Source organism: Homo sapiens, chromosome 6 (genome assembly GCF_000001405.40).
Source record: "Homo sapiens chromosome 6, GRCh38.p14 Primary Assembly".
Classification (NCBI taxonomy): domain Eukaryota; kingdom Metazoa; phylum Chordata; class Mammalia; order Primates; family Hominidae; genus Homo; species Homo sapiens.
This window is the reverse complement of record NC_000006.12, coordinates 154243307-154266234: the sequence shown is the minus strand read 5'-3', so window position 1 is coordinate 154266234 and position 22928 is coordinate 154243307. Positions and strand designations below refer to the sequence as shown.

The 22928-nt window shown below is 39.8% G+C and overlaps 2 protein-coding genes across 8 annotated transcripts in view, besides 1 other annotated feature; one reads left to right on the top strand and one right to left on the bottom strand.

The window, feature by feature from the left end:
* The window catches only part of IPCEF1 (interaction protein for cytohesin exchange factors 1), a 202308-nt gene that overhangs the window by 90569 nt on the left and 88811 nt on the right, over positions 1 to 22928 (top strand). For 5 of the 7 annotated variants that reach the window (NM_001130700.2, NM_001394799.1, NM_001394800.1 and 2 more), the window contains 3 exons: positions 271 to 323; positions 18747 to 18786; positions 19475 to 19644. In NM_001130700.2, the coding sequence (NP_001124172.1) occupies positions 288 to 323; positions 18747 to 18786; positions 19475 to 19644 (246 nt within the window). In that variant the 5' untranslated portion in view covers positions 271 to 287. The remainder of the gene's footprint in view (positions 1 to 270; positions 324 to 18746; positions 18787 to 19474; positions 19645 to 22928) is intronic. The other 2 variants (NM_015553.3, NM_001394802.1) reach the window with 1 other exon arrangement.
* Positions 7816 to 7935: an enhancer, noted in NCBI's record as "active region_25295". NCBI's record gives its function as "activates an Ori minimal core promoter by ATAC-STARR-seq in GM12878 lymphoblastoid cells {active_cell/tissue: GM12878}" and the evidence as "EXISTENCE:reporter gene assay evidence [ECO:0000049][PMID:35858748]".
* The window catches only part of OPRM1 (opioid receptor mu 1), a 236372-nt gene continuing 232811 nt past the window's right edge, over positions 19368 to 22928 (bottom strand). The window contains exon 4 of the mRNA NM_001008503.3: positions 19368 to 19542. Within this exon, the coding sequence (NP_001008503.2) occupies positions 19450 to 19542 (93 nt within the window). The 3' untranslated portion in view covers positions 19368 to 19449. The remainder of the gene's footprint in view (positions 19543 to 22928) is intronic.

The following is a 22928-nucleotide window of genomic DNA, read 5'->3' as shown; positions in this document are numbered from 1 at the left end:
TTTTTTTTCTTTTAGGGACAGGGTCTCACTATGTTGTTCAGGCTGGTCTTGAACTACTGGCCTCAAGCAATCCTCCTGCCTTGGCCTCCCAAAGCTCTGGGACTAGAGGCATGAGCCACCATGCCTGGCCGAAAGGCTATTTAATGAATTACTTTTATTGTAAAATTGATTAATCACAATAGAAGTATTTTCTTTCCCCACTCAAAGAGATATATGTTTTTATGAACACTTTAATCTCACATTTAACTGAAAACATTTTTTCTCTTCTAGCTTTTGTTTCTACTAAGATGACATCATACATGGCTATTGATGGCAGTGCTCTTGTAAGTATCCTTTGGAATACCCCAGGCTTTAGATATTGTCAGTTTGATGAATGAGTAAAATAGTAGGTTGATTTCAAGTTTGGCTAGCAATTTATTGTCCTCAATTTCATTAGCCACAGTAGAACCAAAGACACTGTTGCTAGATTTAAACGGTCTTATGGTTATCAAGCATTTAAGACCTCTAGATTTTTACTTTTAAAGTTTAAGCTGCATACCATGGTTTTAATATACTGTACATCAATTATATTTTAAGAAGATGTTAGCTATGGTACTAGTGGAACCTCTCATGCAACCTCTGTAGGAAAAATTCTGTTAATAATTTCACTGAAATAGGGCTGGGCACGGTGGCTCATGCCTGTAATCCCAGCACTTTGGGAGGCCGAGGAGGGCAGATCACAAGGTCAGGAGATTGAGACCAGCCTGGCCAACATGGTGAAACTCTGTCTGTACTAAAAATACAAAAATTAGCTGGATATGGTGGTGTGCGCCTGTAATCCCAGTTACTGAGGAGGCTGAGGGAGGAGAATCACTTGAACCTGGGAAGTGGAGGTTGCAGTGAGCCGAGATCGCGCCACTGCACTCCAGCCTGGGCAACAGAGCGAGACTCCGCCTCAAAAAAAAAAAACATAATAATAATTTCACTGAAATCATGGGTATCTTTTAAAACAATTTTATGGTCATATGTTTGCCTAAGATAGGTAAGTGAATTGAGCAAGTATATAATCTCTATTAGACAAGGAAACTTATGCAGGGAAAAATTAGGAAGTCGATGTTAGTAACACGGCATTTCTAATAGAAGGGACTGTGGGGAGTGTCGTGGGATTGTATGGTGTGCTTCTTTTGGCAAATCTAATGACCTCATGATGGATGTATAGGTCAGAGTTTGAGGAGCAGAGCTAAAAGCAGAATCAGAAGTGGTGTGTTGGGAGGCTAAAGTATAGACTTCCTGCCAAATCTGGAATGTAGACTGTGGTTTCTTGACGCAAATTAGAAAATGGATGTCAAGGGACTTTGTGGTAACAGGGATGAAGAATCTGAGTTAACTAGACAGCTCCTGAAAGGGACACCTTAGTAACATGCAGGGCGGCTGAAACATCCTTTGCTTGACTTGCTAACAATGTCGTATCCCAGAAATTGAAAAGGCAATGAAGACACTTTAATTCCGGTGCTCATTCTAATTAAGGAGAAAACTTGCTAGGTATGAAAAAAAATGCAGGAAACTTAAGAAGTTATGTATTGGCTGGGTACGGTAGTTCACGCCTGTAATCCCAGCACTTTGGCAGGCCGAGGTGGGTGGATCACTTGAGGTCAGGAGATTTGAGACCAGCTTGGCCAACATGGTGAAACTCCATCTCTACTAAAAATACAAAAATTAGCCGGGCATGGTGGTGCGCACCTGTAGTCCCAGCTACTCGGGAGGCTGAGGCGAAAGGATCACTTGAATCTGGGAGGTAGAGGTTGCAGTGAGCTGAGATCTGTCACTGCACTGCAGCCTGGGCAACAAAGGGTTACTCCATCTCAATTAAAAAAATAAAATAAAATAATGATGCTGGACCTTTACCTCACACCAGATATAAAAATTAACTCAACTGGGAGGATGGCCTCACCAGCACACACAGGCCTGAATCATGAATGGAGAGTGACCAACAAATGATAAGGTGTTTCTTTAAAAAAAAAGAAGTCATGCATTGTAGGATATTTGCCATGTAAAGCTTGGAGAAAAGGAAGGAAGGTGTGATCCAATGGGCATGGATGGGTGGGTGTTTTTTGATAATAGAAATGTGAATAATTACAAGGAGCATAAATAAGAGGAACAAATAAGAGAATCAATGTGGCTGCGGTAGGAGGCTTTGGCTAGGAGTTGATATAAAGACTCATTTACAGTCTGGGAGGGAGGTGGGGGGGGTCAGCCCCCCGCCCGGCCAGCCGCCCCATCCGGGAAGTGAGGGGCGCCTCTGCCCGGCCGCCCCTACTGGGAAGTGAGGAGTCCCTCTGCCCGGCCAGCCGCCCCGTCCGGGAGGGAGGTGGGGGGGTCAGCCCCCCGCCCGGCCAGCCGCCCCGTCCGGGAGGTGAGGGGCGCCTCTGCCTGGCCGCCCCTACTGGGAAGTGAGGAGCCCCTCTGCCCGGCCACCACCTCGTCTGGGAGGTGTACCCAACAGCTCATTGAGAACGGGCCAGGATGACAATGGCGGTTTTGTGGAATAGAAAGGGGGGAAGGGTGGGGAAGAGATTGAGAAATCGGATGGTTGCCGTGTCTGTGTAGAAAGAGGTAGACGTGGGAGACTTTTCATTTTGTTCTGTACTAAGAAAAATTCTTCTGCCTTGGGATCCTGCTGATCTGTGACCTTACCCCCAACCCTGTGCTATCTGAAACATGTGCTGTATCCACTCAGGGTTGAATGGATTAAGGGCGGTGCAAGATGTGCTTTGTTAAACAGATGCTTGAAGGCAGCATGCTCCTTAAGAGTCATCACCACTCCCTAATCTCAAGTACCCAGGGACACAAACACTGCGGAAGGCCGCAGGGTCCTCTGCCTAGGAAAACCAGAGACCTTTGTTCACTTGTTTATGTGCTGACCTTCCCTCCACTATTGTCCTGTGACCCTGCCAAATCCCCCTCTGCGAGAAACACCCAAGAATGATCAATTAAAAAAAATAAATAAATAAATTTAAAAAAAAAAGACTCATTTACAGGATGCTAAAAGGGAGTCCTGTGGTCAAGATTTAATGCAAATGGACATTGCAGATCTGTAAAAATAGAGTAAGGAAGTTGAAGTTCAGAGTAACAAAAATGAAAATTTTTAAATAGGAAAAATTCCATTTTAAGATTATAAGCATGGCTGGGCATGGTGGCTCATGCCTGTAATCCCAGCACTTTGGGAGGCTGAGGCAGGTGGATCACAAGGTCAGGAGATGGAGACCATCTTGGCCAACATGGTGAAACACTGTCTCTACTAAAATACAAAAATTAGCTGGGCATGGTGGCGCATACCTGTAGTCCCAGCTACTGAGGAGGCTGAGGCAGGGGAATTGCTTGAACCCGGGAGGTGGAGGTTGCAGGGAGCTGAGATTGCATCACTGCACTCCAGCCTGGTGACAGAGCAAGACTCTGTCTCAAAAAAAAAAAAAAAAAAAAAAAAAAGGATTATAAGCATGTGTATATGTACTATTTGGAACAAAGACATAAAAAAGAAAGGATTAGGATTGTTGGATCCTTGGGAAAGGTAATGCAATGTTTAATTCTTATATTGCTCCACCTTTTCCACTGAAAGGATGTAATCTTCCAACTGGAGGAAGTTCATCTTATATGTTTAAGAAGAACTGGAAATCAAGGTAATAAGAGAGCATTTAAGTGTTTTAAATTAACAAATTTATTTGTTCATTGGAACATTCAGTTAGTATTACCTACCCTTACCTATCCTGATTCTATCATGCATCAGGCACTGTACCAGGTAGGGTAGGAACTGGAGATTTAATTGGCTTTGGACAAGTTAAAGTCTCTACATCTACAAGTATAACCCTGGGTATTGGAATCAGATCACAGATGTGATTACCAAAGGACTAACATATCATCCACGTAATTCCCGACCTAAAGCCATTACCACTATAATAGGTAACCTGTTTCCCTTGGTCTTGTGTACAAATGAATTCTATTCTTATTAGTGGAAACTGGCTATTTATGTATCTTCCTCATTTCATGAGCCATCTCCACTCCTAGAGTCAATCAGCCAGCTCTCCTCGTGTGTCTATTTTTCCGTTATTTTTATCTCACAGCCGTCAGTGTCTGGGCGGCACTGCTGAACATTTCTTTTAAGCATTTCTTCCAGCAGCTTTTCAGTGGTTACCCTACTTTATCTTTCCATTCAGAAAATTAGTTCAATTTTCTGCTGTCATTTGTTCTCTAAATAAAATGTAGCACAGGAGACCTATTTTTATGCTAGGTAGTTTCAGTAGGTTTGACACCTTTGACCTAATCACATCTTGAATTACACTTCATTTCCACTAAACTAACACTTATTGAGTTATATGGGTTGAACAAACTGCTTGGTGCTGGGGTATAAAGATGAGGAGCATACCATCTTGTTGGGGGTAGGGGGAAGGAATATACCTTTAAGGTCCTTTCGTTGATCCTAGCCTGCTAGTTTTCACTGAAGCTGGTATGGTAAGTGGTGCTAAAAAAAATGCTCAGAATTCACAACTAAATTTTAAGTGTTATTTGAAATTTTATTATGTGTATACCAAACAGCATTGTCCTGTTTTGCTAAGCTGAGTTGTTTACCTGATAGTATTCTTTTCTCTCTTCTAAATGAAACAATGGGATTTTCAAAGCTAAAGTTTCATGTAGATCCAAAAGTATCGATCCACCAAGTTCTATCGGTTCAGTCTCTTAAATATTTCTCCATCTTCACAGCCACAGCTCTTGCCCTCTTCCCCTGGGCTTTTGTCTCTGGCCCTGTGTCCCTCCAATCCAATTGCCACATGACAACGAGAGTGAATTTTTCTTAAATGGAAGTCTGATTATGCCACTCGCCTGCTTACATTGGTTCAATGTCCCATTGTCCTTTGGATAAACTTCATACTTTAAGGCCGGGAGAAGTGGCTCATGCCTGCAATCCCAGCATTTTGGGAGGCTGAGGTGGGAAGATCACTTGAGGCCAGGAGTTCGAGACCAGCCCTGGGCAACATAGGGAGACCCCATCTTTACAAAAAATAGCCAGGCGTATTGGTTCATGTCTGTAGTCCCAGCTACTTGGGAGGCTGAGGTGGGTGGATCGCTTGGGCCCAGGAGATCGAGGCTGCAGTGGTCCACTGCACTCCAGTCTTGGCTACAGAGCAAGACCCTGTCACAACACACACACACATGCACACACACGCCTTTAGAATCTGGCTCATTGTGTGTTGGGAAATCTTCAATATAGTTACTAGATTTGGCACTATCCCCAGACTTCTCTAAGAATTGGTTTATGTAGTCCTTGATATTGATAAAGTTTCCTCGAATCACACTATGGTGATAACCAAGTGTTATGCACGAAATCATGATTGCTTGGTTTTCTTTTATGATCAGTTTCTCATTAAAATAAATAAATAAATAATACTAGCATATATGAATCTTCAAGGCTTGATTATAAAGTTCTCTGGTCGGCTGGGCATGGTGGCTCATGCCTGTAATCCCAGCACTTTGGGAGGCCGAGACAGGTGGATCACGAGGTCAGGAGATTGAGACCATCCTGGCCAACATGATGAAACCCCGTCTCTACTAAAAATACAAAAATTAGCTGGGTGTGGTGGCGTGTGCCTGTAATTCCAGCTACTCAGGAGGCTAAGGCAGGAGAATCACTTGAACTCAGGAGGTGGAGGTTGCAGTGAGCTGAGATGGCGCCACTGCACTCTAGCCTGGGGGATAGAGAGAGACTCCATCTCAAAAAAAAAAAAAAGTTCTCTGGTCTTAGATAGATTTTAGTAACGCTGTTCAACTAAAGAAGGAAAACAGCCTTAATTTAAGGATCACAGGGCTCACTGGGAATGAGACAGATAATCTCTTTTACTGTTATACATAGTTCCTGTACCCAAAGCTCCTAAAATGTTTTCCCTGAAACAAAAAGTTACGTATATAAATCATGGATATTTCGCTCAGTTTTCTTGCTGACAAGGAAACGGTCAGTGGATGTGAATGCATGTTTATGTCTGCTACTGTGGTTAAGTTATTTGCTGTTGCCTGGACTCTCACCTGTGGGATGATCTGTCTAATAGCAAACTGGTACTTGCTGTGTTTACTTCACAAGACAGCTCTGCATTCGCCACTCACAAAGCATCGGTCTTTATGTGACTATGTGTAGTCAACAGCCCAGACACGATTTCTGCCTGCATGAAACATGCATGTCTCACCGCTCACTCCATCTCCGTGCTCGTCGTGTGAACTGCAGGGAGTGGAAGTGAGGAGTTTATTCTTCACATTTCTGGTCAATTAAAAAAAGCTGAAACTTTGCAGTTTGCTTTCAGGCTACATCAACATAACCCTATGTTGAAATAAGGGGCCAACGCTGCTCTTCACATGGGTCAAAAACAGGAGACTTGAACATATTTCCTGTGGCAAGGACTTAGGTGGGAAGGGCATGAGAGCTCTCTGGGGAATAGATTATTGGTAGGGGTGGGAGGGGCTCATTAAGTAGAAAACTTCTGTCCTCATGCCACCCCTGCCCCATGCATTCTATATTTCTTTTTATTTATTTATTTTTTATTTTATTTATTTATTTATTTTTAGACAGAGTTTCGCTCTTATTGCCCAGGCTGGAGTGCAATGGAGCGATCTCGGTTCACCACAACCTCTGCCTCCCAGGTTCAAGTGATTTTCCTGCCTCAGCCTCCCGAGTAGCTGGGATTACAGGCACATGCCACCACGCCCGGCTAATTTTGTATTTTTAGTAGAGACAGGGCTTCTCCATGTTGGTCAGGCTGGTCTTGAACTCCTGACCTCAGGTAATCCTCCTGCCTTGGCCTCCCAAAATTCTGGGATTACAGGCGTGAGCCACCATGCCCAGCGCGCATTTCATATTTCTTTGATTCCAGATTCTCAGTATTTGGAGGGTTTGTTGAAAGAGGATGAGGGAGAAAGGTATTGTGCTTTTTAAGGAAATAGTCTTTTAGTAGAACTAGAGATTTGTTCAGCAAAAGTCCATTTTACCTTCAAGAAAATACCAAGAGTCAACTCTTCCTGTGAATTCAAGTTTCATGTCAGTCAATCCTATGGGGTTTTCTCTATGGATGTGCCTCTTTGGGAGTGAGAAAGGTATTGGTGAAACTTTTGTGTTGCTTAACTTTGCTGATATTATTTATTAGCCAAGGTATTTTACAGCTCTGAGTAATCGAGCAGTAGATGGCTTTGCAGACATCTGTCAAAGTTCCACTATCTGCCAGGCACATAGGAAGGCATCATGCTTACTAAAGGCATCATATGAAGGAAAAATTGATATAAGACCATAAAACTTTTTGTTAAATATTTTTTTGAGTGCTTACTTTATGTCAGTCATTGGGCTAGGTGCTAGATTTTGAGGACATGGCATGTTCAAGAACATCAATTCTGTCTTGAAGTCTTGGCCAGTCATTGATGCATTTTAAGCAGAGTTGTAGTTGTTCAGTGGTGTGTTGAATGGGTTTTGAGGATCTAGACTGTAGACGGGGAGTCCAGGAATGAGATGGTTGGTCATTGTTTAAGAGAGAACTGATATGGATCTGACTAAGGCAGCAATAGTGGAGATAGAGAGGAAAGAGAGATTTGGTAAATATTAGGAAGCAACCTGGACATGGGTGGTGCGTGAGCAAATGTGTAGGAGAGGGGAAAGGGCAAACCTGAGATTACTCACAGGCTCTGGGTTGGACCGTTGGGTAGGCAGTGTTACCACAGTGTGTGTACCATGGTATCCCACACAGATAAACAGATTATAATATCAATTTCAGAGGCATAGCAAAACATGGTGAGAACACAGAAGACAGAACAGCAGGAGAACATATAATTAAACAATAGGCTTAGGAGTCTGACTGGCTGGGTCCCATTCTTGGCTTTGCTACTAGCTGTGCGTGATCTGTGGAGAAGTTTCTTAACCACACCAAGCTGAAGTTCCTCATCTGTGAACAGGAGGATAAAAATAGTACCTACCATGAAGATCTTCAGAGATAACATAAATAGCTTATTACAGGGGCTACAAATAAATAACACTGGGTGAATATGAAGTTAGTATTAGAACTAACCACCTTCTGATGTCAGAGAGGGCTTCATAGTGGAGGTGCCATTTGACCTGGATCTCAGAGGATGAGTAAGCATTAACCAGGAGAAGAATGGGGAGGGAAATACAGTATTCAAAAGCAAGGAGCTGTTTAAGTGTCTGATATTTCTGCAGAATAGAAAAAAGTTATCTGGGTATGGTGGCTCACACCTGTAATCCCAGCACTTTGGAAGACCTAGGCGAGAGGATCACTTGAGGCCAGGAGTTTGAGACCAGCCTGGGCCACATGGCATGACTCCATCTCTACCAAAAAATAAAAAATTAGCCAGATGTCCTGGTGTGTGCCTATAGTCCCAATTGCTACTTGGAAGGCTGCGGTGGGAGCATCGCTTGAGCCTGGGAAGTTGAGATTGCAGCGAACCATGATCCTGTCACTGTACTCCAGCCTGGGTGAAAAAGCAAGACCCTGTCTCAAAAAACAAACAAACAAACAAACAAAACCCAAAACCAAAACAAAACAAAAAAGCAAAAAGTTTTGGTGGTATATTGAGGCCAGTATGGGAAGAGACTTGTTTGTTATTTGTGGATTTAAGATGGAATCTTATAAATGAATTAACTGATTTCCGTTCAAGGGTGGTACACATTTTGACATTCCATTCATCTTCCAACATATAGCAATGATAGACAAAGAAAAACATAAAAAGCCAAAAATGATAGTTAGGCTCAGAAACATGGTAAGCATCTCTGTGGATCAGAAATGAAAAGTGTAGCATGACTGAAGCCATGAGCTGGATAGGCACCTGGTCTGGAAGCAGGAAGTAGTTTGCCTCTGCCTGCAGGTTAAGGGATAGGGGTGTAAAAAATGTTCCGCTAAATGTGGGGAGAGCTAGCTAGGTTCACTCCATGATGACAATGGAGCTTCCTCACTTGTGAAAGGAGCTAAAGATAAATGGAGGAAACAGTTGCCAAATCACTGCCTGAGATGACACATTTTGCTAGTTGTGGGCCCTGGGAGGAAGGAGATACAGACACAGGCACCAAACCAGGAACTAAATTTAGTCACCAACTGGATCAGTGACAGGATATACAGATGTTTCTTGACTTACCATGGGGTTACATCCTGATAAATCTGTAATAAATTGAAAATATCTTAAGTTGAAAATGCACTTAATACACCTAATCTACTGAACATCATAGCTTAGCATAGCCTGCCTTAAACATGTTCAGAACACTTAAATTAGCCCACCACCGGGCAAAATCATCTAACACAAACCTATTTTATAATAAAGTGTTGAAAATCCCATGTGAAGGTATCATACCATGTATTACTAGCCCAGGAAAATATCAAAATTCAAAATTTGAGGTGCAACTTCTACTGAATGCATACTGCTTTTGCTTTTGTACTATCATAAAGTCATTGTAAGTCAAACTATCCATCATAAGTTGGGGACCATGTGTGCAAGATTCTCTATGATTAAATTAGGATATTTTTGTAGAACTAGTTTTGCAGTAACTAGAGGTAACTTCTAAACAGCAAAAGAGAGAGCCATAAGCACAGATGGGAAGAGAGAGAGAGAAAGTGAGAGTGTGTGTGTGTGAGAGAGACACACACACACACACACGCACAGAGAGAGAGAGAGAGAGAGAGAGAGACGGAGACAGAGACACAGAGAGAAAGAATGCCATATAGACAGATAGTAAGGCAGAGAAAGAGAAGACATAAAACTTTTTCACTTGCAATTCTGCAAATTTAAATTCTATCATAGCCTGGATATTTGTGTCCCTCCTATTCAATCCCCACAAATTTATACATAGAACCCCTAATCCCCAATGTAATGATTTTAGGAGGCGGAACCTTTGAGAGTTAATTAGGTCATGAGGGCTTCACCCTGATGAATGAGATTTGTGCCCTTATAAGAAGAGACCAGAGAGAGATGATTTTCTCCCTGGCCATGTGAGGATATAATAAGAAAATGGCCATGTGTAAACCAGTAAGAGGGCCCTCACCAGGCACCAGCTCTGCCCACATCTTGATGTTGGACTTCCCAGCTTCCAGAACTGTGAGATAAATATTTGTTGTTTAAGCCACTCAGTCTATGGTACTCTGTTACAGCAGTCCAAACTGACTAAGACAAATCCCAGAACACATTTACAAATAACAATGCTAAGAAAGATAGAATATAGAATAAAAAATTAGAAGATAGCTTCATTTTAAATTAAATAAAAAGTTAAAAGCTCGACAAAATGTTTAAGTACGAGGTTCAAAGAAACTTTTAAAAATTTTTGAAGAAAAATCAAGCACCAATAATAAAGTATCAGTTGGTTTTTAAAAAATTTATAAATTTCAGAAAAGAAAATACCTTTCTTGCAATAGCTCAATAGATGGCATAAACATTGGACACTTTCAAAAAAGAGTATTAGTAACTTGGAAGCAGATTTGAAAAACTGATATAAGACATAAGTAGCATAGAGAGATAAAGAGATTAAAAAAGAGCTAAGATATGAAAGAAAAATCACTCATCTCTAACACAAATCTAACAGTACTCCCAAAAGAAGAGAATGAGGAAAATGGCAGAAAAGCATGATTTGAAGACCTTTTAAAATTTTCCATGCTTGAGAAAAGATGCAAGTTATCAATTAAAGCTTCACTCAGAGGATTGAGCAGTATAAATAAAGATAAGTCCATAACTAGAAACATTGCAGTAAAGTTACAGTATATCAAGGATGATGAGAATGCCTTAAGAGAGTGAAAAGAAAAATCAAGTACAATGAATGACAGACTGATAGCAGAAATCGATCAGTGTGATAGTTGTTAGAAGACCAATGATCAAAATAGTCAAAGTGCCAGGGGTGAAAATACTTTTATACCCACCTCAATTATCATTCAGTTTTGAGGTGAAAATAAAGGCATTACAATACACACAGAGACTGAGAATTTACTGCCTATGGATCCTCATTAAAAGGGACTATTCAAAGAGGCACCCTCCTAAACAGAAAAGTGGATCCAGTGGGAAGCTATATGATAAATGAAAGAAAGATGATCCCAGAAATAGGAAAACTTGTGATTTCTGATTGAGAAATAATAACTTAAATCATAATAAATTTATGATTAAGAATAATAATACACAACATTTTTAATGGAAAAATAAATATGTAGACTGCAATAACAAGAGAGTAGTCATTCAAACAGGAGTTACAATATGCTAAGTTATGCTATATTTATGGTGAATTTAGAAATACTAAATTAAACATCAGAGAAATTGCATGTGAGAAAGAAAAAAGGGAAAAATAAAAGTAAATGAAGTGAATGAAACCAAAACCGCAAAATAAAAATGTTGTTAAATGTAAGTAGATTAAACTCACCTATGAAAAGGCACAGATAATCATGTTATATTAAAAAAAATCAAAATGTAGTCATATGGTCCTTATAAAAGAAATGGCAAAAACCAACCAACCAACCACACAGAAAGTTTGAAAATAAAAGGATGGAAATGCTAACAAAGTTGTAATTCCAGCAACAAAAATTAAAGAGAGATATAAAAGATTTGGAAAACAAAATTAGCAGTTTTGATTTAGGTTTACATAGAATGTGATATGATTTGACTCTGTCCCCACCTCATCTGGAATTGTAATCCAAATTGTAATCTCTGCATGTTGAGGGAGGGACCTGGTGGGAGGTGATTGGATCATGGGAGCAGTTTCCACCATGCTGTTCTCATGATATTGAGTGAGTTTTCACAAGATCTGGTTGTTTGATTAGTATCTGGTGCTTCCTGCTTCTCTCTTTCTCCTGCTGCCATGTAAGACGTGTCTCTCTCTACCCCTTCTCCTTCCACCATGATCGTAACTTTTCTGAGGCCCCTTCAGCCATGCAGAACTGTGAGTCAATTAAACCTCTTTTGTTTATAAATTACCCAGTCTCAGTTAGTATGTTTATAGCAGTGTGAGAATGGACTAATATAGAATGTTTACAAAATTTGATTATGTAATGTCACAAATAAATGCTAATAATTTCAAGAAATTGGTATCATAAAGATCATATGTTCTGAACAAAATGCAATGAATTTAGAAATTAAAAAAAGTAGTAAAAATTTCCCATATGCTAAGAAACCTATAAATACATATTCCAATGTCTTATTCTAAAGAAATGATTTAGAATGGAAAAACAAGGCGATACAAGTAAAGCAAAATTCCCAGTAAATGTATAGCTCTGAATGTTTTATTATAATAAAAGCAAAGAATATAAATAAGATATACATCACCTCTAGGAGCTGGAAAAAAAATAACAGTAATTTTTTTAAAAATTTAAAGAAAGGGTAATAAGTTAAGAGCAGACATTAATGAAAGAGAAAAAATAAACAGGTAGAAGGAGATGTAGGAAAGATTTCTGAAACTCTGAGATAGGAGACTAAAACATATTCCTGGTTGTAGAAAGCTAAATTTTATATATTGCAGGAGGGTCTGTAAGTAGGACACTTTGGAAGAAACGTGGGAATATCTAAAAAATTAAAGATGCACATATCCTATGATCATGGAATTCCACTTCCAGACACATAGGTAGCCCAGAAAGACACCTGCATATATGAATAATGGAAGTTATACAAAATTGTTAATTGCAACATTTTTGTGATAGCATAACATTGTAAATAATTTCAATGTGCATCAATAGGTAGAGATACATTGTGGCATTTTTCTTCACTGCAGTACTATGCAGCATTGAAAATGAACTAGAGATACATGTATCAACGTGAAAACATTACAAAAACATAATAGTGAAAATTAAATGTCTGCATTAATGTTATTACTTCTAGTTTTGTTAAAATATTATTTATAGATAGTAAAAGTGCAAAGGAGGTCGGATGTGGTGGCTCGTGCCTGTAATCCCAGCACTTTGGGAGGCTGAGGAAGATAAATCTCTTGGGCCTATGATTTCGAGACCAGCCTGGGAAACAGAGCGAGACCCTGTCTCTACAAGGAGAAAACAACAACAACAACAAAAAAAGCAAGGAAATGATCAACATCACATTCAAGTTAGTGTAATGTGAGGAGAATGAGAGGGAAATGAAAAAGGGAAGGAGTACACAGAGAGATAACAGTATACTTAATTCTCTTAAAAATAATCTCAAAAAGAAAAAAGGCAGAAAGAAATGGATGATCAATGAGTTAGAATATGAATATAATTGAAGCCTTTGATACTGTATTGTTGAAGTGCTTTCTAAGTGTGTATCTGTATCTTACTGCAATAAAAGGGTTTAAGCACAGAAGCTTGGTTTTGAGGGAGGTCTGTGGCAATCTCTGTCCTTTGGCAGTGTGCCTTCCTGTTACTATCATGACGCCTCTTTTCAGTGAAGATTCTTGAAGGAGTAGTCTGCAATGCTGTCTTTATTTCTTCAATTCCCACTCATCTCTCAACCCACTCGGATTGGTCTTGTAGCCCCACACAATAGTTAAACTGGTTTTGCCAAATCTCTAGTGAATCCATCCTTCGTTTTTTCTTTTCTTTTTTTTTGTTTTTCGAGATGGAGTCTTGCTCTGTCACCCCAGCTAGAGTGCAATGGCATGATCTCGGCATACTGCAGCCTCCGTCTCTGGGGTTCAAGCAGTTCTCCTGCCTCAGTCTCCCGAGTAGCTGGGATTACAGGTGCCCACCACCACGCCCAGCTAATTTTTGTATTTTTAGTAGAGACGGAGTTTCACCGTGATGGCCAGGCTGTTCTTGAACTCCTGATCTCGTGATCCGCCCACCCTGGCCTCCCAAAGTGCTGGGATTACAGGTGAGAGCCACCGTGCCTGGCCAAGAGGAGCTCGTCCTTTGTTTTTTCACACTGACAGTACTGGAAGGTTTGGACCTACCTTTCTCTTGTATTCCTCCCTCTGCTCCACGACAACCTTCTCTCCTGCCTCTCTTTACTTTTTCTTTGGCTGTTAATGGCACAGTCCCCTTGCTGGGCTTCTATTGCTTTTCTGGGGCATGTTGGTTTTCCTTTGGATTCTGATGTTGAGCGTTTGTCATTCTATACATTCTCTGGGTGATCTGACCAAAACATGAGACTTCTACTCTTTATACAGTGACAAGTCAACATTTTATGTCTTTATTCCAGATTTTCCTCCCAATATCTAATCCCTTATATACTGCTGTATACCAAGTATTTCCACTTAGATGTCTCACATGTTTATCAGACTCAGTATCTTTACTGCTGAAACAATATGTACATTTCTAACTGTGTTCTCTATGGTGCTAAGTCATTTATTGCAATTGTTTCAGCTAGAAACTCCACGATTTTCCCTGGAACTTTGCTCTTCCCCACTTTCTACATTGTCTTCCTCCTTCTTCCGTCTTCTCTTGCACCCTTCCTGCAGCTCCTTATCTCCTCTCCCTTCCTTCCTCCCCTTCTTCCCAGTCCTCCTTTCATTTCTTCTTTTCCTCTTCTAGGTGGAAAGTGCCGTGGTATCCATCTTCGCCACAATCTCTAGTCCTTGCTTCCCTGCCCTACTTCTTAACAAAACAGCAACAATGCAAACAAATATCCTAACAGTTTACTATGCAGAGTTTTATTCTTGAAATACCTATTTTCACTTTACCATTTACTTTGGTGACTTTGGGCAAAATTCTGAAGCTCCGTTTGCTTTAATTTCCACTTCTGTAAAGTGGATATAATAATAGCACCTGAGCCAGAAAGGTGGCTATGAGAGTTCAATGCTAGTAATCTTGAAAAGACTCAGAGCAGCGCCTGGCACATGCGAGCATGATATGATTATTAAGCTTTATTCATATGTTTTAGCTGTCATTGTGGTTTTTTAAAATAAGAGATGGGATCTTGTTATGTTGTCCAGGCCAGTTTTGAGCTCCTGGGCTCAAGACATCCTCCCACCCCGGCCTCCCAAATCACTGACATAGGCGTGAGTCATCACATCCAACCTCTGTCATTGTTTTTATTACTGCTTCTGTTATTATTGTTAGAATGTCTATTGTCTTTCTTCATTATCCACTACTATGACAGATTATTTCAATTAATGTATTAAGTATTATTTAAGGTGGTTAGTCTTCTGAAAAAATTAAGCAAGCTTTTCATGTTTTCACAGGTAAATGTCTATTAATTGGATGCTTTAGAATCTCCTTTAAAAAGTTGAGTCTATTTTTCTGGGAAGGATAAAAAACGTTTGTGGAGATGTCAGGGGTTTCTGGAAGAACATCCCTAACAGCTCTATCAGTGCTGTGCCGATCTGGTATGGCTCTAAAATAGTCAGGAATTTCTGTGGCTTGGTTGTTAAAATATTGGTAATTTGAAACTGTCAATGATGTGAGGGTTTCTACCACAGAAATTGACAAAAGCCACCAGTTAGGGCTCCTGCAACCAGAGAGCCCATTTTACCAGCATATCACTGTATAGTTTTTGCTAAAGATTAGGATCACTATGAAGTCTGATGTAATGACAGAGCATCTTACTGTGAATTTTAATACATCTTGGGGTAAATTTTGCCTGCAAGGTTTAACAACTACTATATGGATTATAAGTCAATATAACAGTTACCCGTAACCTGGGCGTTAGCCCCAACATTCAATATCAAAGGAGTTTCCTTTGTATATTTTCTACTGGGTCTTTTGTATATTTCCATGTGTTTTTGAGTGATTCGTGGCCAAATGAAGTTTTTGAACCATCTTTTAAAAAGTTAAAGAAAAATACACTTCTTCAATGAAAAAGAAATACATATTTTCAAAGAAAAATTTCCCCTCAACTTTAGAAGTAAGTTAGGGCAAAATCAGATTTTTAGAATAATTTTTTAGTTTTACCTATAACATTCAAACTGGAAGAAAATAGAATGAGAAAATATCTTACTAGGCTCTGAATATTTATGATGATAGCAAGTTATAATTTCCCCTATTGAAAAACCATCTCATAAAATGCTCAACTGGTTGCTTGCTTTTTTTTTTTTTTTACTTACCTAGCGAAAAACCACATGCAAGATCATTTTGAAACGGACTAGTTCACGGGTTCCACTTCCTGTTGTGAGGAGTAAAATCTATCTTAGATGCAATAAAGTTCTCAAAGATTGTTTTCACTGTCTCATATAAACCAATTTAGGTTTCAAATTCATGTATGTTAGGTGAAACTGAAACTCCCTGAATTTGTTATTTCTATAATATGCAGTCTGTTTCTGGTCAGGGAAAACAGTTTTAACAGTTAATAATTTGCTTTAAGAGAATTATTGTCAGAACAGGGTTGACTCAATGACTCAATAACTAAGCTCCCTCCCCCACTTAAAAACAAACAAAAAAAAAGCCTTTCTTTGAGTTGGGTGCCTGTTCTGCTTGAGGTATTGTTCTCATCCCATCCTAGGCATAAGAACGTGGTGTAGACCAAGGGTTGGTCTTGGGCAGAATTGAGACAAAGCTCACATTTTGGGGCTTTCCCTGGAAGTAGCCCTAAGGTGGAGCCGGAGGGCTCCAGTCCCACTGGGTGCTCACAAGGAATGGGTGGAGGATACTCACTGGTACCCAGCTGGGAGCGATGGAAGGAGCATCACTTCCTCTCTGCCTTGGCTGATCCCATCGCTGCCCTCCAGGGACTTTCCTCTCATTTGTTCATCTGAAGGCTGCTCTTCTTGTTTGAACTAATGTAATTTCATCTTGTTCATTGGAGGCCTGAGCACTCTAGGAATGACTGTTAACAACGCCCTTTTCTCCCTATTCCCCTGGTTCTTGGTTTGTCTCAAGTGCTTGCTAGGGACTCCTGGACCCCAGATTTCCCAAATCTTACCCAGCATCTACATTCACGAATTCTCTTCTTTGTCTTTAGTCCTGGCTCTCAGCTAAAATTTAGCCACTCAAATAATATACATATTTGGGCAAAAATATTTTGCCAATAGGTACTAGTTGGGTTTTACTGATCTCAGAGAATTGGCATATCAAAAAAAGGTCCCAGGAGATGATTTGAGGGAATGATAGGAACTTTAGAACACAAGACAGGTCAGTGTGGGAGATATTTGTGAAGTGAGGCTGAGACTAGGTCCTTTTCATGATAACTTGCCTGGATTTTAGTAACATGCCATGATTATAACATGTCTATCTTTGCTTAAAATTTAAGGTAATTACTGCCATCTTTATGGATGATTAATTTTGGGGGGGATAAATTTTACTCTAACATTGGTCAGATGAAATGTCAGTGCAATATTTCTTGGGATCTATATTTCCCAGGAAATATAATTTAAACACTTTAGCTTCGTTGTAATTGCTGAAGGATACATAAATCATACTTATAAAAATTATGATTTTTTTCTGTTTATTAGATATAAAGTATTTGTTTATCTCAACGATATAATATTATATTACACATACTCATATAAAGGGATGTTGTTTAGTTCTCAGAGGATTTTCACAAATAAATCTTGTAAAATCTTTATAAGACCTATAGGATTAGAATTATTATCAATATCTTCATTTTATAAATGAAGAAGCAGATTCAGAGAGTGCTATTTTCTTGGGCACCACAGCTACTAATTATAATAGCCAGGAATTGGTTCCAGGCCTCTGGATTTAAAGACCTTCTCCTCTTTTCACTATGTCATATCCCTTCTTCAAACATACAGTAGAACCATATACAATAGCTATCAGATCAATAGTTAGATATGTAGACTATAAGCCAGGAACCTCTAGAAAACATTATAAAATGCTGTACTAAGATTACATACCAAATTTTGGAACTGCTTTTCATTTTCACACGTTTTTTCCCCTGAGTTCTCTACCTGTTAACGGAAAAGGTTGTCTTTCAAATTTAAATCAGTTCAGCTTAGATATTTGTAAAGAAAAAACAAATAGAACTTCTTTAAGCAAAATTTTTTTTCTCTCTCTCTACACACACACACACACACACACACACACACACGTATTTTAAAGCACTTAAAAATATTTTTTATTTTTGCTGATAGTCTGATTGTATGTTTGTTTAAAATGTATTGTGGAAAAAATGTATATTTCATATATGTTGTCTTATGTCTGATTTGAAGAGCTAGTACAGAATAGTAGGTGGTAACTAATTTATCTTCCATAAAACGTGAGAAATATTCAGAGATATTTAAAGACAGAATAACAAACTTTAATTTGTCTGTAAATAAGAATTTCCTGATAAGGAGGGTTGATTGCTACTGAACTCTCACTGAAAGAGGTTGTGGAATTTCATTTTCTGGGATATTTAATTCATGTGGTTTAGGTCTAACCCTACGTGGTAGCAGGACTATGAGCTGAATAGTCAAGTGACTCTAATATTTTGAGATTGTAACAATTATCTTCCAGGTTTATCTGAATAATCATTGTTATTTAGAAATTGCAAAAGAAGCAGATATATTTTTCCTTCTCTCACAAAAACACAAAAGGGGAAATATTTTTTGATTTTTAAAACTTCCGTGAACACTGTGCTATCATAACTAAAGTAGTAGTGAGAGCGGCTTGTGGGTGGGAACAGGAAACATCAGTGATAAATGCTCTGTGACTTTTTTTTTTTTTCAGGTTCAGCTCAATGTATATTGATTCTAATTAGCACATTTTGTGCCTCAGCTAGTAGCTCCCCGTTAAGCTCTGCCTGGAGAGTTTTTTTTTAGATTCCATCCTGCTCATAAACACTGCCACCTCCTCCCTCCTTCTCTCTTTACAAATGTTACAACACAATCAGAAATTTCCTCTTTTCTTTCCTTCCTGCATTTTCAGCAGGTTCCCTTGCGTCAGAAGCCCAGGAGGAAAACTCAAGGTAATTAGATCTCTTTTGTTTCTTTATCTCCATTTTGTGTACGTTGAGTGTGGCTTTTCTCCGGGGTGCCTTCCTTGGGATCAGATTTCTGTCTGTCTTAATGCTAATAAGAGGAGGTGGACGGCAGATTAATTTTTGGTTATTGTTGAATCGATTTTAAGAAATGACGACATGTTGTTCATTTGGATTAATCCCTCGTGGTATGTCAAAAGAGCTTAGAAAAACTGGCAGTGAGTCGGGAAGTAGCTGTGTATTGAGGTGGGCATTAACCCTTCAACATCTATTGCATAACTACGGCTGTTATTGTTGAGAGGAGCTATGTTACTGCACTGATATGCCCGCCAGCCTTACAATTTTAATTATTTTCAACTTATTCTTGGTGAATACTATTCTTAGACTAATACTTGCATATTACTCCTGCTGCGCTGTTTCTTTGGCCGTATCTTATACCTTCTAAGCATGAAACAAATGTTTAAAAATAAAACAGACACATGGCTTTTTTTTTTTTTTTTTGCATTGGTTTTGCATAGGTTTTGCATAGGCTTTGCATAAATCTTGGTGAAAAATCCAGCTCCCCGGGGGGTTAACAATTAAAAGTTGCCTTTCACTCTGTCACATAAATCAGGATAATACTTTACCTACCAAATCAGGGTAATACATTATCTACCTCTTCATGTAATCATTGCAGGTTTTCTCACGATGAGTCGGAGGAGGATATCGTGTAAAGATCTGGGCCATGCTGACTGCCAAGGGTGGCTGTATAAGAAAAAGGAAAAGGGAAGTTTCCTAAGCAACAAATGGAAAAAGTTCTGGGTGATACTGAAGGGGTCGTCACTGTACTGGTATAGCAATCAAATGGTGAGTCTGCTTTCTTCCTCCTATTCCCAGCCGTTTTAATGAGGGATACGTTAAAGGCATCAGGTGATCCCTATGGGAAAGTTCATTTTGATTTCTGGGAATTGGAGCGGAGTAAATAAACAAATAAGTTATAGAAGCCATTTCTGGTGCAGTAGATATGTAGGTTATGCTTCTGTGTTTTATGGAGAAGAAACCCATCCTGTTTGACTACTCTGGCTGGGGAGGAAGGGAGTGTCGACATTTACATCCTTGCTAAAGGAGACTTTTAAGTTCTGTTATTAATGTTACTATTCCACGAGGGATTCTAATAGTTTCAGGATTTATGTGGCCATCACTTAACATGGCACCTTTACATAGTTAAGGTCTCTCTACTAAAAGGAGACTCGGCTTCACGACCTACAAGGGTGTCAGTTGATTCAATTCAGAGAAGCTTTTTCAATTTCTCCTCCTTTACTTTCTTCTTCCCCTTCTTTCCCCCGACCTTCTTTATCAAATGGGTTGGTTTGGAATCGCTAACCCCTATGCCAGCTTTGCATTGGCGACTGTCACCTCTTGTCCCCTGGTGTGCTCTGTGATGGCATTAAACTAGTCGTGCTTAGACAACATTTGAAAAGATAGTTGCCTAGTTTATTCCTTAAAAAGTCGGTATACTGTTGTGGTCTGCATCCCAGGCTAGTTTTCTTTTGAAAATGGCTGGAAATAAAGTTATTCTTAGAAAGTGTGCTGATCTTTCGTGACCTGAATCATGTTGAAAATGACGATGTTGTTGAATGTCGAATGAGGAGACGTTTCCAAGGAGGAATGCTCTCCACAAACCCAGTGAGGTTTGATTGCTGCTCTCAGGAGAGTGTGAGTCCCTTTGTAGTACTGTGAAGATCAGCACTGGAGGGCCTTTAGTCAATTAAGGGAAAAGTACTTAGGAGTTGCTTATAAGCCAGGAAAGTTCTTTTTATGTGACATTCTTCTTGTGAAATGACGTGGGCATGCATGTCATTCAAGCAACAGAGCTGTACATCATGTAACTTTATAAATGCAAAATAAGTACTGCATATTGTTTGTGGGCCAAATTTTTAGTTGATAAATTTACATTCACTGGCCACTAATCAATTTTCGTTGCTCACATAGCCCTGGGCACCTGTTCATTAAAGATTTGGTTAAACCAGACCCAAATCCAATTCCAGTGCTGGGAATAAGCACTCTCCTCTCTGCTGCTCTGCCCCCAAACTTATTGCTCCAGCTTCACCTCATGAAAAATGTGGCACAAAGCTCCTCTTTGGGTTCCATAAAAATACATTTTTTTTTTCCAAGCATTTGGTGAGTTATAACAACTTTATCAAAGTTTTAAGGGATTCACAAAAAGTCACTGGCAGAGTGTGCAGTTTTCCACTGGCATCCTTTTTCTCTCTTTTCTTCTCCCCTCCTGAATACATTCTTCATCTTGTCTAGCATGTATGGTTTTACCCAAATTGAGGCAACCTGGGTCTGTGGTCTTGCCTTCTATTGTAAGAGAGTTTTCCTAAACAAATACAGCTTCCTTCTTAAGAGGAACTAAGGTTAATATAAATGTCTCTTTCTTGTCTCATATTATTTCAGGCCTTTGTTTTGGGGTAGTTGTGGCAAGCGATAGTCCTCTACATCTTTTATAACATGAGAGAACCTACTGATTTACCTTTTAATAGTGGTCAGGGCATTTCCAGAGGCTGTTGGAAAGATTGGACGCTGATGGAGCTTGGCATGTCTGTGGGAAGTAATAAAGCTCAGATAGAAGGAGGATGTTCATCTTCTCCGGGAATCAAATTATTTAGCAAATATGTTCTGGCTGCTGTCCCTGTCTTCATAGAATTTAAAGGAAGTCCTTCTGAACCACACAGGCTTCCAGATTGGGCTGGCTTGGCCTCATCAGCTCATTCAGCTTATGATTCTCTTAGAGGAGAAATGAGTTACCTATTTTAGGCATTAGGAACTTCATGCTTCCACAAGGAGCAGCAGTGTTGACAGACTAGGCTAGAAAGAGGAAAGGGATAGAGCCTTAGATACACTCATGCATTCCTGCCCTGGCTTGCTTTCATGGCAACACAGAAAGCAATATTCAGGTTGCAAAGCATGTACTTGAATACAGTTAGATTAGCAGCATTGAATGGAGAATAAGCTTGCCGCTATCTGGCTAGGGAACTATAGGATTAAACTAATGGTATGCAAACTAATGGTTATAAAACTAATGGTATGTAGGGGAATTCTCCCTCTCTCTTCCTCTCCACCACAAACACACACACACACACACACACACACCCACCCACACACACACCGAATCTTAATTATATGTTTACTGTGAGGGAAAAAAGGCTACTCAATGAATGCTTAATTAGCAGTGATATTCCTCTTCTCTGTGCGGACACCAACTGTGAAATAAGACCCAAGCATGTCCTGTCAAGCCAAGAAGCTTTATTTACTTCCTGCCACTTAAAAGAATTCAGATTCAACAAAGTCGCTCTCAAAGCACCTAAGCCTAAGCACCTAAGAGCAGAATTCTAATTCTACCTTGGGTTACAACCAGCCCCGTCCCTACACTTCCTCAGTAGCCTAATGCTGAGAGGTAGCAGAGTCCATAGCATCTTAGGAAGAGCCACCTGTTACTTAGTGTCTACTCTAGGCCAAGGTAGGTGATTCAAGGTACCTTGCATATATGCTCTCATTTACTCCTCAAAATCACCCTGAGAGGTAGTAGTTGTCTCCACATTTTGAAAGTGGGATAGACTGAAATGCAGAGAGATTGCGTCAATTGTCCCAAGTCACATGGGAGTAAATGGAAAAAAACAGATTCACATTCAGGTCCCTTGGACTCCTAAACCCATGACTTACAGCATGCCAATCCGACTCCCTCTCGGGCCAGGATACATGACACAATTAAGACCACCCTGTTTTCTGCCTTCAACGGGTTCTGAGAGAACAGCTCTGGAAATGAAATTTAGGGCAACTCTCCTTTGAAATTACATGTGATCTCATTGTCATTGAATCCCTTTGCTTTTCTCTCTCCGTCATTGCCTGACACTGCCTGGGAAGACCAGCCTCACCTCTCTTCTGTTTTATGCTATTGCTACCCAGTTACCCAATGCATAGTCTACCTTTTTCTTTCACCACACGTTGCTACTTCAAACTATACTACCTAGAATTCATTGAGAAAGGTCAAGTCCAGAGGCTCATCTGCCATTTTTCACGCCACAGAGTATGTGCTTAGTGTGACGCGGCACACAAGTCCTACAAAACCATATGCAAGTTTAACAGCC